At 41.9% G+C, this 13,423-nt stretch overlaps 1 protein-coding gene across 8 annotated transcripts in view, besides 3 other annotated features; it reads right to left on the bottom strand.

Moving 5' to 3' along the window:
* Positions 1-13,423, bottom strand: part of DOCK2 (dedicator of cytokinesis 2) — a 446,108-nt gene that overhangs the window by 417,706 nt on the left and 14,979 nt on the right. For all 8 annotated transcript variants that reach the window (NR_156756.1, NM_004946.3, XM_011534449.3 and 5 more), the window contains exon 2: positions 11,191-11,274. Coding sequence is in view for 7 of the 8 variants with exons in the window: in NM_004946.3 (NP_004937.1) it covers positions 11,191-11,274 (84 nt within the window). In the remaining variant the exon portion in view is untranslated. The remainder of the gene's footprint in view (positions 1-11,190; positions 11,275-13,423) is intronic.
* Positions 8,821-8,870: an enhancer, noted in NCBI's record as "active region_23596". NCBI's record gives its function as "activates an Ori minimal core promoter by ATAC-STARR-seq in GM12878 lymphoblastoid cells {active_cell/tissue: GM12878}" and the evidence as "EXISTENCE:reporter gene assay evidence [ECO:0000049][PMID:35858748]".
* Positions 8,901-8,950: an enhancer, noted in NCBI's record as "active region_23595". NCBI's record gives its function as "activates an Ori minimal core promoter by ATAC-STARR-seq in GM12878 lymphoblastoid cells {active_cell/tissue: GM12878}" and the evidence as "EXISTENCE:reporter gene assay evidence [ECO:0000049][PMID:35858748]".
* Positions 9,251-9,300: an enhancer, noted in NCBI's record as "active region_23594". NCBI's record gives its function as "activates an Ori minimal core promoter by ATAC-STARR-seq in GM12878 lymphoblastoid cells {active_cell/tissue: GM12878}" and the evidence as "EXISTENCE:reporter gene assay evidence [ECO:0000049][PMID:35858748]".

The following is a 13,423-nucleotide window of genomic DNA, read 5'->3' as shown; positions in this document are numbered from 1 at the left end:
GACAAAGTTAAAAAGTGTATGCATCTGGCAAAGGTACAAAAAGTTGGATGGGAAAAAAACATACTGATTTCAGGATAAGTGTTACCTACATATGGACAAAAGAAAAAAGAATAGAGGAGGGGTAAAAAGGGATTTCAATTGCACTAGAAATTTTTATTTCTTAAAAACAAATGTCTGAAGCAAGCACATACATATGTGTGTGTATATACATATAAACATGTGTATATACATATAAACATGTGTATATACATATAAATATACACACACATATATAAGTTCTCCCACTACCATATTTATATATAAACATATATAAATATGCTGATACTTATATATAAACATATATAGATATGCTGATACTTATATATAAACATATATAGATATGCTGATACTTATATATAAACATATATAGATATGCTGATACTTATATATAAACATATATAGATATGCTGATACTTATATATAAACATATATAGATATGCTGATACTTATATATAAACATATATAGATATGCTGATACTTATATATAAACATATATAGATATGCTGATACTTATATATAAACATATATAGATATGCTGATACTTATATATAAACATATATAGATATGCTGATACTTATATATAAACATATATAGATATGCTGATACTTATATATAAACATATATAGATATGCTGATACTTATATATAAACATATATAGATATGCTGATATTTATATATAAACATATATAGATATGCTGATATTTATATGAGTGATGAGTGCTTAAGAGTGCTTTTTCTTTCTTGTGTGTTGAAATATATAATAAGATTGAGATCAGATGGAAGCTTGTACCTATCACTGGTTGATATGATTTGGCTTTGTGTCCCCACCCAAATCTCATACCAAATTTTAATCCCCTTATGTCAGAGGAGGGACCTGGTCGGAGGTGATTGGATCATAGGGGTGATTTCCCTCATGCTGTTCTGGTGATAACGAGTTCTCGTGAGATCTGATGGTTTAAAAATGTGGCACTTTCCCCTTGCTGTCTCTCTCTCCTGCTGCCATGTAAGATGTGCCTGCTTCCCCCTTCACCTTCCACCATGATTGTAAGTTTTCTGCGGCCTCTTTAGCCATGCAGAACTGCAAGTCAATTAAACCTCTTTTCTTCATAAATTACCCAGTCTCGGGTAGTTCTTTATAACAGTGTGAAAACAGAATAATACAGAAACTTGGTACTGAGAGAAGTCGGGGACTGCTATAAGATGCCTGAAAATCTGGAATCAGTTTTGGAACTGGGCAGAGGTTGGAACAGTTTAAAGGGCTCAGAAAAAGATAGAAAGATGTGGGAAAGTTTGGAACTTGCTAGAGACTTGTTGAATGGTTTTGACCAAAATACTGATAGTGATATGGACAATGAAATCCAGGATGAGGTGCTCTCAGATGGAAATGAGGAACTTCTTAGGAACTGGAGCAAAGGTCACTCTAGCTATGCTTTGGCAAAAGACTGGCTGGCAGCACTTTTCCCCTGCCCTAGAGATCTGTAAAAATCTGAACTTAAGAGAGATGATTTAGGGTATCTGGCAGAATAAATTTCTAAGCAGCATAGCATTCAAGATTTGACCTGGCTGTTTCTAAAAGTATATAGTCATATGCATTCACAAAGAGATGGTCTGAAATTGGAAATTATGTTTAAAAGGGAAGCAGAGAGTAAAAGTTTGGAAAATTTTCAGCCTGACCATGTGGTAGAAAAGAAAAACCCATTTTCTGTGGAGAAATTCAAACGAGCTGCAGAAATTTATATAAGTAACAAGGAGCTGAATGTTAACAGCCAAGATAGTAGGGAAAATGTCTCCAGGGCATTTCAGAGATCTTCACATCAGCCCCTCCAATCACAGGCCCAGAGGCCTAGGAAGGAAATATGGTTTTGTGGGCTGGGCCCAGGGCCCTGTTGCTGTGCAGCCTCAGGACTTGGCACCCTGTATGCCAGCCACTCCACCTCCAGCTATGGCTAAAAGGGGCCAAGGTACAGCTCAAACTGTTGTTTCAGAGGGTTCAGGCCCCAAGATTTGGTGGCTTTCATGTGGTGTTAGGCCTGCAGGTGCACAGGAGACAAGAGTTGAGCTTTGGGAATCTCTGCTTAGATTTCAGAGGATGTATGGAAATGCCTGGATGTCAAGGCAGAAGTCTTCTGCAGGGGCAGAATCTTCATGGATAACCTCTACTAGGGCAGTGCAGCAGGGAAATGTGGGGTTGGAGCCCCCACACAGAGTCCCCCGTGAGGCACTGCCTAGTGGAGCTGTGAGAAGAGGGTCACCATCCTCCAGACCCCAGAATTGTAGATCCACCAACAGCTTGCACTGTGTGCCTAGAAAACCTGCAGGTACTCAATACCAGCTTGTGAAAGAAGCTGTGGGGTCTGTACCCTGCAATGCCACAGAGGGAGAGCTGCCCAAGGCCTTGGGGACCCATCCCTTGCATCAATGTGGCCTTGCATAGATGTGAGACATGGAATCAAAGGAGATTTTAGAGCTTTATGATTCAATGGCTGCCCAGCTGGGTTTTGGACTTGCATGAGGCCTGTAGCCCCTTTGTTTTGGCTAATTTCTCCTTTTCAGAATGAGAGAATTTACCCAATGCTTGTACCCCCATTGTATCTTGGAAGTAACTGACTTGTTGTTTTGATTTTACAGGCTCATATGTGGAAGGAACTTGCCTTGTCTCAGATGAGACTTTGGACTTGGCCTTTTGAGTTAATGCTGGAGTGAGTTAAGACTTTGGGGGACTGTTGGGAAGGCATGACTGATTTTGCAATGTAAGAAGGACATGAGATTTGGGAAGGGCCAGGGGAGGAATGATGTGATTTGGCTCTGTGTCCCCACCCACATCTCATCTCAAATTGTAATCCCCATGTGTCAGGGGAGGGACCTGGTGGGAAGTGACTGGATCATAGGGACGGTTTCCCCCATTCTGTTCTTGTGATAGTAAGTGAGTTCTCACGAGATCTGATGGTTTAAACGTATGGCACTTCCCTTCTTGTTCTCTCTCTCTCCTGCTGCCATGTAAAACATGCCTTGCTTCCCCTTCATCTTCCACCATGATTTTAAGTTTCCTGAGGCCTCTCCAGCCATGCAGAACTGTGAGTCAATTAAACCTCTTTTCTTCATAAATTACCCAGTCTCAGGTAGTTCTTTACAGCAGTGTGAAAACAGACTAATACACTGGTTAAGAGTGTGAATCCTGACTACTAAAAACTTTCTGCATACCAAAGAAAACAACAAAATGAAACAAAAACCTGTGAATTAGGGAAAAAATTGCAAACTATACATCTGATAAGGGGTTAATATCAAAAATTTTATAAAGAACTCATATAACTCAATAGTATAAAAATAAATAACTTGATTACAAAATAGGCAAAGAAACTGAATAGACATTTCTCCAAGGAAGACATGCAAATGGCCAACAGATACATGGAAAGGTGTTTGACATCATTAGTTGTTAGAAAAATGAAAATCAAACCACAATGAGATATCACCTCATGCCTGTGAAAATGGCTATTATCAAAAAGTCAAGAGATAACAAATGTTGGCGAGGGTGTGGAAAAAGGGGAACTCTTCTACACTGTTGGTGAGAATGTAGATTGGTAGTCATTGTTGAAAAAGGTATGGAAGTTCCTAAAGAAATTAAAAATAGAACTAGCATATGATCCAGCAATTCCTCTTCAAGGCATATATCCAAAGAAAATGAAATAACTGTCTTGCAAATATGTCTATACTCTCATATTCGTTACAGCATTATTCACAATAGCCAAGATACGGAAACAACCCAAGTGCTCTCACCAGTGGATGAGTAGATAAAGAAACTGTAATATACATATACAATGGAATATTATTCACCCTTTAAAAAGGAGGAGATCTTGCCATTTGTCACAGCATGGATGAACCTGGAAGACATTATGCTAAGTGAAATATGACAGACACAGAAAGTATTGCATTATTTCACTTATATATGGAACAAAAAAAAGAGTCAAATATACAGACATAGAGAATGAAACAGGGGTTACCAGGGAGGGTAGGGGATGGGAGGAATGAAATGGGGAAACGTAGGTTAGAGGTTACAGGGTAACAGATATGTAGGAAGAACAAGTCTAGAGATCTAATGTACAACAAGGGATCTATAGTCAATAAAATTGTACTGTATTTGAGCTTTCTGCTAAATGATTAGATTTTAGCTGCTGATGCCACCAAAACAAAAACAAAAAAGAAGGGTAACTATGTGAGATGATGGATATGGTCATTTGTTTCACTATCGTAACTATCTTACTACCTTACTACCTATTATGTATCTCATAACATCATGTTGTATACCTTAAACATATACAATTAAAAAAATTTTTAAAGAGTATGAGCTCTGCAATGAAAGTCTGAATTTGTTGGAGATCTGCTACTTAACTGTGCAATCATGGACCTGTTAATACTTTCTTCTGAGCCTCAGTCCCCTCATCTATAAAATGAGAATAATAGTGCCTCACATCTCATGGGAATAATAATAGTGTCTTATCAGGCTTAAATTGGATTAAAAACTCAGAGAGTTTGTCCAGTGTCCAAAAGAGTTAGTAGATACCATTCTTCTAAAAAAATCAATTAAAATAATAATAATGCAGAGAAAGTTGGGCATATTTTCTATTTTATTTTCAGGACCTATGGATTTATAATATCATTTTTTTTTTGCACTAAAGTCATTTCAACATATTTCCATCACAACAAAGCAAATAGACATGCCGCAAATGAAACATAATGGAAGTTTACTGACGTCTGAGCCTCATCCTCACTCAGAAGGGAGGAAAACTTCACATACACACTGCTGATAATGGAGCAGCCTTACTGAAGAAAATGGAGTCCTTTTCAAAGTGACCTGTCACTACAGCAGACCTGAACAAAAGACTATCACCTTGCAAGGTGGTGCTTTAAAAAGATTCCATGTTAAGTGCTTATAATGTCCTCACTTATATTAAAAGCAAAGAATTTGGATAGGTCAAGATCACCCTCAAAGGAGTTATTAGCATGGAAGCCACTGCCTATGGCTCTTGGTGTGCCCTCCTCAGTGAGGGGTACATTCAAAATCTCCTTGTGCCAAGCTTTTGCAGCCAAACCAACAATGTGGTAATAGATATGTGTTCACTTAGAAAGCACTCCAATATTTTCAAATGAGAACAGAAGGTCTCAGAATAGTACATAGAGTATGTAGTTGCATTTCTAGAAAACAGCAACAACAAAAGCAATGCGCTATTTTTTCAAAGCAGAGGATGCTCTATCCATCTCCTCCCTCATTCCTCTGATTTTATTTGTTTGTTTATTTATTTATTTTTAGAGAGAAGATCTCACTCTGCCTCTGAGTCTGGAGTGCAGTGGCATGATCATGCCTCACTGCAGCCTCGAACTCCTGGGCTCAAGCAATTCTCTCACGTCAGCCTTTGGAGGTAGGAAGTTGTTGCCTTAGGAGGGCATGATACAGTTCCTCCACCCCAAAACTACATCCAAACACAGTATGAGTGCATTCCAGGAGCTTCACACAAAGATGTCAGGGGCATCTGGCATCTCATTCCCCAGCTACCTGGCTATTTCTACAATGGACAAGCTGATCATAGAGGGCTTATTTCAGTAGAGAAGACAAAGAACTGGAAAGAAAGCACCCCAAACTCCCTCCTTCCCCAGGTCTTGTTCAAACTGGGGAAACAGAAGAAGTAGGTGAGCTGCACAATATATGAGATTGAAGTCTTCTGATGTCATCAAATATCAGGAAAGATGTCAATCAAATATGACTGGAGGAAGTGACTGGGGGGAAATAAAATAACACTGCTTTTTTTTGTGTTTGTCCCTTCTATGATGAATTCCTACTGCTCAATACACTTACCTGTGTTTTCCACATCTAAAACACAGAATGTTTATGCCGCCTCTGGATAAAAGAGGCAGCATGAGAGATATAATATGGGCAATGAAGTCAGCATTTGATGTCTAAGGCTTAGCATGGCCTAGCATGAGTACCATCTTGAACTATGTGAGTTTTTATCATAACAATATATTATCCTTATAATAAAAAGTGAAATTCACCCTTGTTTAAGCTTCCAGTTTAGGGTCCTGTTTTCCCTCTTCATTCAGCTGAGTAAATTTAGTACATAGGCAAGGAAGGGCTAGTCTCACCCATTCCAGGAAAAGATTCAGCTTCTGGGCCATGTTGTAAAAATATACATCTGCCAGTTTCAGTACAGCACTACATAATAGGGGAGAGGATGGAATTAACAAACACAGAGAACCTTCTATGAGCCAGGCTGGTGGTAGACAGCTTCTTTACTTTTTCTCATTTTATCCCCATAAGAAGCTCAGGAGCAAGGTGAAAACAACCCACTTAACAGATGAGAAACCTAAAGCTTACATACCCAAGATGACTCCACTAGTGGGTAGCAGAAGCAGGGAATAACTTTCTAATTCAAAAGCCAGTGCTCTTTTCACTTCTTTATTGGGGGTGGTGGGGAAGATTTTAAAACTATTGAAAGCCCGGCAAGGTGGCATGCATCTGTAATCCCAGGTACTTGGAAGGCTGAGGCAGGAGGACTGCTTGGGCCCTGGAGTTGGAGACCAGACTGGGCAACAAAGAGAAACCCCCATCTCAATAATAATAATAATAATAATAATAATAATAATAATAATAATAATAATAATAATGCAGTCTTGTAGATTGGAAGCAAATATCCTCAGGTGTTGGCAATGATTAATTATAGGTGGTTGGAATGTAAGTGATTGTTATTTTATTCTTCATACTTTTTTTGCCTTATTTTTCAGAGATGGAGTCTTGTTAGTCTTAAACTCCTGGGCTCAAGGGATCCTCCTGCCTCAGCCTCCCAGGTAGCTAGGACTATAGGTACACACCATCATGCCCAACTTAAAGACTGTATTTTTTTTTGTTTGTTTAAAACTAATATATGCTATTATAAAGAATTTAAACTAAACAGAAAAGTACAAACATATAAGCTTAAAGAATTATCCTGAATCCCATTACACAGAAAAACACTATTAATATCATTCCAGTCAACTCTTCGTTTATATTTATATACATAGAATGACAGAGAGATAAAAAGATAAAATATGGTTTTTAAAATACTCTCATAAAAATGAGCATATGGTGAAGATACTATATAAATACATTTTTTTTTTTTTTTTTTTTTTGAGACGGAGGCTTGCTCTGTCTCCCAGGCTGGAGTGCAGTGGTGCGATCTTGGCTTACTGCAAGCTCCGCCTCCCAGGTTCACGCAATTCTCCTGCCTCAGCCTCCTGAGTAGCTGGGACTACAGGCACCTGCCACCACGCCCGGCTAATTTTTTGTATTTTTAGTAGAGATGGGGTTTCACCATGTTAGCCAGGAGGGTCTCGATCTCCTGACCTCATGATCCACCCGCCTCTGCCTCCCAAAGTGCTGGGATATAAATAAAAATTTTATTTAATCTTATTTGTATTTAGCAGAAGAAAAAGAAACCAAGTGAAATTGAGGGACATTTGAACTTTGATTCAATGTTTCTTTATCACTAAAAAGATTTCCTGAAAACTTCTCTAAAATGAAAATTGTTATGAAAAGCATTCAAAGATAGACGTGGTTATTTTTTTTAATTCCATGTTTTATTTCCAATTAATATTCATTGACTTTGTTGTGAAAGTGATGTCATTGAGTTAGCTATTATCTTCCATTCTCCTCCCAAGTCTCAACTTTATTAGATTTTTTAAAATATTGTCTAGGTTCCCAACAATAACATTCTTTATGGTAGCCATAAAAATCATGATGTCAGGGGCATCTGGCATTTCATTCCTCAACTACATGACTATTTGTACAGTGGACTGGCCAATCATTAGGCTTATTTCAGTAGAGAAGACAAAGAATAGGAAAGAAAACATCCCAAACTCACTCCTTCCCCAGGTCTTGTTTGAATGGGTGAAAGGGAAGAAGTGGGTGAGCAGCACATGGATATAAGATTAAATAAAGTCTTCTGATGCCACCAAATCTCAGGAAAGATGTCAACCAAATATGACTGAAGGAAGTGGTTGGAGGAAAAAAATCACACTGCTTTTTTATGTTTGTCCCTTCTACAAGAAATTCCTACTGTTTTTAATATCAATTTTTATAAATCGATTCATTTGGACCCAATATTAGCCACTATTTCCTTTTATCACAGATTTTTAATCCAATATTCTTGTATTGTGATTCACCTCTCAGTTGGCTGGATTTTGGTTTTGAAGTAGTTTTCTGTAAGAAGGTTTCACGGGTACACCCATATTCTTTCTACTACACAGTTTTGACTAATTTTTGACTAACATTGTGGTTTTCACACCTTTTATATTTTTAGAGGAATCTTTTTTTTTCAATCAGAATCACAGACCATACACCCCATCTGAAGGCAGACAACACCAGACCTGCTCTCAGACCCCCTCCAGCTCCATTACCTTCTGCCACTCAAGGCACCCCAAGAAGACTTTGGATCCCCTATTTGAAAACTCTGCATGGCCATGAGTGTATGCATGAGAAGTCCTAATGATTTGCGTACCAGGAGATATGATATTTCCTCAGATAGCTAGAATCATTCTAGCAGACTTCCAAACACTGTCTTTTCAAATAATTAATAAATTATTAGCCATTTACCAATGAATATATCCAGCTTTTTCCAGCAAGTTATTGTGACTAATTTACAAAGATACATTAAAATAAGACTAATTGAATTAGAAATGGAAAACCAGAACCAAAGAAAGGATAAAGGTGTCCCAGAGATGAATAAAGGTGGCTTGAGTCCACCAGAGTAGCCTTCGTAAAGGTCAGGGCACCAGGCCAGGGAAAGGTACTGGCAAGGCTCTGACTATGGCAGCCTGTGTGGGAGGTTTATTCCCTCAAGCTTTCTATTCAGGGAAACTGCATACAACGAAGAGAAAAATACTCATCTGGATTTCACAATGTAGGACACAGAAAATAATGACCAAGGCCTTGTCATTGTTTTGGCAGGCATGGGTGGAGGAAAGAGTGTGGGCTTGGCTATCAGAAAAGAGCCACTGGGGCCAGGTGCGGTGGCTCACCCCTGTCATCCCAGCACTTTGGGAGGCCGAGGTGCACGAATCACCTAGGGCCAGGTGTTTGAGACCAGCCTGGCCAACATGGCGAAACCCCGTCTCTATTGAAAATACAGGCGTGGTGGCACATGCTGGTAATCCCAGCTACGAATGAGGCTGAGGCGCAAGAATCAGTTGAATCTGGGAGGCGGAGGCTGCAGTGAGCCGAGATCGCATCACTGCACTCCAGCTTGGGAGACAAAAGCAAGAGTCCGTCTTAAAAAAAAAAAAAAAAATCCACTAGCTCACTGTGCAACCTTAGATGAGTCATTTCACTGCCTCCATTTCCTCATCTGCAAATGTGAGGTCTCGTGCCTGTTTCTCAGGATTAGCATCCAGTAGCATGAAAGAGGCACTGAGGAGAGTTGCTGCTGTTTTTATTTTCATTCTTTGCCTTTGGTAGTCACCTACAGTTTGCTTATCTGCCACTGGGCAGAACTAGATTTGTAAAAGATAGGGTTATGCTGTGAGCAGGGGGCAGCGTGCGTGGAATCACAGACCCAATTCAATTCTCTAGGACAGCGTCTCCACCCCTCTCCTCCAGCCTTGTCCACTCCTTGCGTAAAAGGTTTCAACAGGGCCGGAGTGTGAACTTTGCAGGCCCTGGACACTGAAAAGTGTACGGTATCCCCTCATCTACAACCCCAAGTAAAAATAATACTAAAGCATAAAATAAATATAAGGAAGATGAACAAAGTTCTCATTTCCCCCATGACCCCTTTTAAAGTTGTCTTGACATATCAAATTTCAAATTATTTGCCCACAAAATGGTTTTCTGTATGTTTTTTGGTTGTATCTACATGCACAGGTATGCATATGTGTATATATGTACATATGTATGTTTGTGTGTGTCTTTGTGTGTGTCTGTGTGTGTGTATGTGTTTACACAAGCATCCTTGTACAAATCTGCAGACCCAGCTAGGGGCTCTGTTGCCTAAGAGGTTGCATGTAGCTAATCCAGCACTGGAAATGACACTGCCTGTCCTGTGGGTTGTGGTGAGGAGTGACTAGGATCATGTGTTATAAAGAACTTAGCACAGTGTCTATTTTGTGGAAAGGACCAAAGATGGCTACTCCTGCAGGTGACCGCCTTTCCCCATGAAAGGACTCCTTCACAGTGGCACACCTGCCTCCTCCCTGACCGTCACTCCCTCCCCAGGGCCTCCTCTAATGGATTCACTGGGGGCAGAACAGGCCTATGTGCTCAATACACTCTCTCTTCTTCCTCTACCACTCTGCCGAGACACAGGAAGCCCAGGCTCTGTGCCCTCCATGCAGCAGGAGGTATCAGCAGGCCCAGGTAGGAGGGAACTGTGGTAGGCCAGTTGGGCCAGTGAGGGGTGGGAGCCTGCCTGACTGCAGGTAACAGATCAGCAGCTCATTTGGTTCTCATGCCCAAGCCATGCTCCCAATATCAAGTTTATCAATGACATGTTGATTTCCAACTGCCTGACTTATGAGTCCAAGGCCATTCATCTTTGTGCAAATTTTAAAAAGCACTCCCTACAAGCACACCACCATGGGTGGACGCAGCCCAGTAGACACCTGGCTTCACAAGGCAATGGCATCTTTGTAGGAGAAAGAAAGAGATGCCACCACATTGCCCAAGACAGGGCTCCCAGCTTGGGGAGGGGAGTGAGCTCCTGCTCCCTGGGCTGGGTGCCTTCATGCAGTAAACAAACAACACAACTGTGCACATCGGCTCTCCTGGAATTAGAGGTGTGATTTATGGGACCCTTCCAAACCCTAATGATGCTTATTTCCCTTTATCGTGATATTAATACTAATAAAGAACTGTATCTAGGAAGAGTCACAGGCTGAATAGCCCCATGGCTGAAGCAAATGGAGAGCATAACAAACATCGAACCACCCAGTTAGGCTTTTGCTATGAAACATACATTCCTAAAATGAGAAAGCATTTCTGTTTAGTAAATTCTAATTACTAGCGTTACCAAAACGTTTTTAAATAGACCACACAGTTGCAGGTTCAGAGACAGCGCTGAGGGGCCTGGGTGTACTATAGGCTTCCATCAGCCAAGGGTCCAGCACTTGGGGCGTGGGCCAGTGACTCACCTCCACACGTCTCCTGTATTCGCACCACATCGCCGATCTGCAGGGAGAGCTGGGGGGCTCCGCTGCCTTGGAAGTTGTATATGGCTGTGAAACAGAAAGAAAGACAGCTAGGTGAGACCTCTAGATCTCATTAGTCTCTGCTCCTTCCTGCTTTCCCTGCCTCAAGTCCATCCCATGCCCACGCAGCCCACCTGGGCTAAACAAAACCAACACAGAAACCTATTGCCTGCCACAAGAGTTATTTCAGACTCAGCCTGGCTCCCAAGACCTTCTATTAACCAAAGTTGACCTTTCCTCAACACAGGCCCTGCATTGAGCCTGAGTGACAAGGAGGCTGCTATTTACTATGGACTGTCCTCTTACTGTACACCAGGCAGTTAAAATGTTACATCATTTGTTATGCATGTTTTGCTACAATTAAAAAGAAACAACTGCATACTAAGCACCTGAAGTGTGGTGAGGTGCTATACCAGGTAGGAGAGATGCACTGGTGAGCAGGATAGCAGGAGAGCCAGGCAGCTGTGGCCTCTGAGACCCTGAGCCCCTCCTTCAGCCAGGCCTGGGGTTGAGTCCCAGCTCAGGCACCCCAGGGATCTATGGCAAATTATTATGAGAAAGAAAGACAGTCCCAGTGTGTGAAGAGCCTGCCATGTTGTAATGCTCCATAACCAGTAACCAAATGGTAGAATTAGACAGCCAGGGCCTTGTATTCTAATGGGAGAAGCTGACAGGTCCACCTGCAATGACCTGATGGATGGTCTGGGCTCAGGAGGTACAGGTGCTTTGAGAGCACAGGAGATAACATGCTGGAGCCATGCATGGGGGCCACAGGAGGCTTCCTGCAGGCAGGGCCAGCTGAGCTGGGCCCATGCTCCTCCCCGACCAGCACAGCACCATTGGGACAATGGAGAGGGCTACGCAAGGGAAGGAACCTGTGTAGGAGATTTACCAGGAGGAAGGCCCCGGTGTGAGCTCCAGTCCTTCATGACGCCCTTGGCCCTGCTGCTGCCCACACAACAGGCAGTAGCTACGTCTCCAGACTCCTCCAAACCCGCTCTAGCTGGTGACAGCTACAAAACAGACTCACTTTCCCTCTGAATCCGTTTCCCCACTTTTAAAGTAGGCATTATTGTGCCACTCTTACCCACCCCACAATGTTGGGTGGGGAGCTAAGATAAGAAGATACCACTGTAAAAAGGTTATTATTCCTAAAGAGGAACTAAACGTAGGCAGGCCCCACTTTTCTGGAAGTGGCTTATCAGTGTGGATCCTAATAAGAACGAATGTGTAGCAATCACTTATATCCCAGACATGATTCTAAGTTCTCCATGTGCATTTACTCCTTTAATTCTCACAACACTCCTTGCAAGTGAGAAGTCTTATTATTTCCAAATTTCAGATACAGAAACTCAGACAGAGAGAGGTTACTTGCCTTGCCCAAGGTCATACAATGCTGGAACTGGGAGTACAGGCCCATGCTCTTTCCTACTCCTCTACTCTACAGGTACACCTCTTCATAATTACCTCCTTTTACCTTTGAGGATACGGACCGTAGGCTGATCCATTAAGTGACCAGGGTCTAAATAGCCAATGCTGCTCTGTGTCTAACCCCTATGCAGAAGCTGGGTGAAATGCCACTGGGTTCTGTGCAGATTCTTTTGCATCACAGAGACCACCGCCAGTCTCTAACTCTCATTCATCTCTGCCTCTTCCCACTTATCTCCTTCCCTTCCTTCCCTCTCTCTTCCCTCCTTCCTCCTTCCCCTGGTCCAATCACCCCAACACGTCTGCCTAAACCACATTAAAAGACCAGAGTGGTTCAGAAGGAACCCCAGCTCTGCCACTCACTACTGTGTGATCTTGGGCAAGTGACTTCACCTCTCTGCCTCACTTTCTTACAATGGGGATGTTAACAGTACCTATCTCGCAGGGTTTTTAGGATGCTTCAGTGGAACGGAGCACAGGCTGTCCCCTCTACTCCCAGGTGTGCCCCATATCCCTAACCTCCCTTTTGTGTGCATTCAGAGAGATGAAGTCTCCATCCTGAGAGATGATAAAGCTTAGGAGTTAAGAGCTAGTTGTCTCTGGAGTCAGACAGATGTGGCTTTTGAGGCCAGTTCTGTCTTTTCCTGGCTCTGGCCTCAAGCCTAGGGCTGCAGTGTACAACTGCCCAGGCTGTGCCCTGCACAAGGCCACCCAGCCAAGAGAGCAGTGAAGGCTGGCACCCAACCTG

This window comes from Homo sapiens, chromosome 5, assembly GCF_000001405.40.
Source record: "Homo sapiens chromosome 5, GRCh38.p14 Primary Assembly".
NCBI classification, from domain to species: domain Eukaryota; kingdom Metazoa; phylum Chordata; class Mammalia; order Primates; family Hominidae; genus Homo; species Homo sapiens.
The sequence above is the reverse complement of the archived record's forward strand: the minus strand, read 5'-3'. Positions and strand labels throughout refer to the sequence as shown.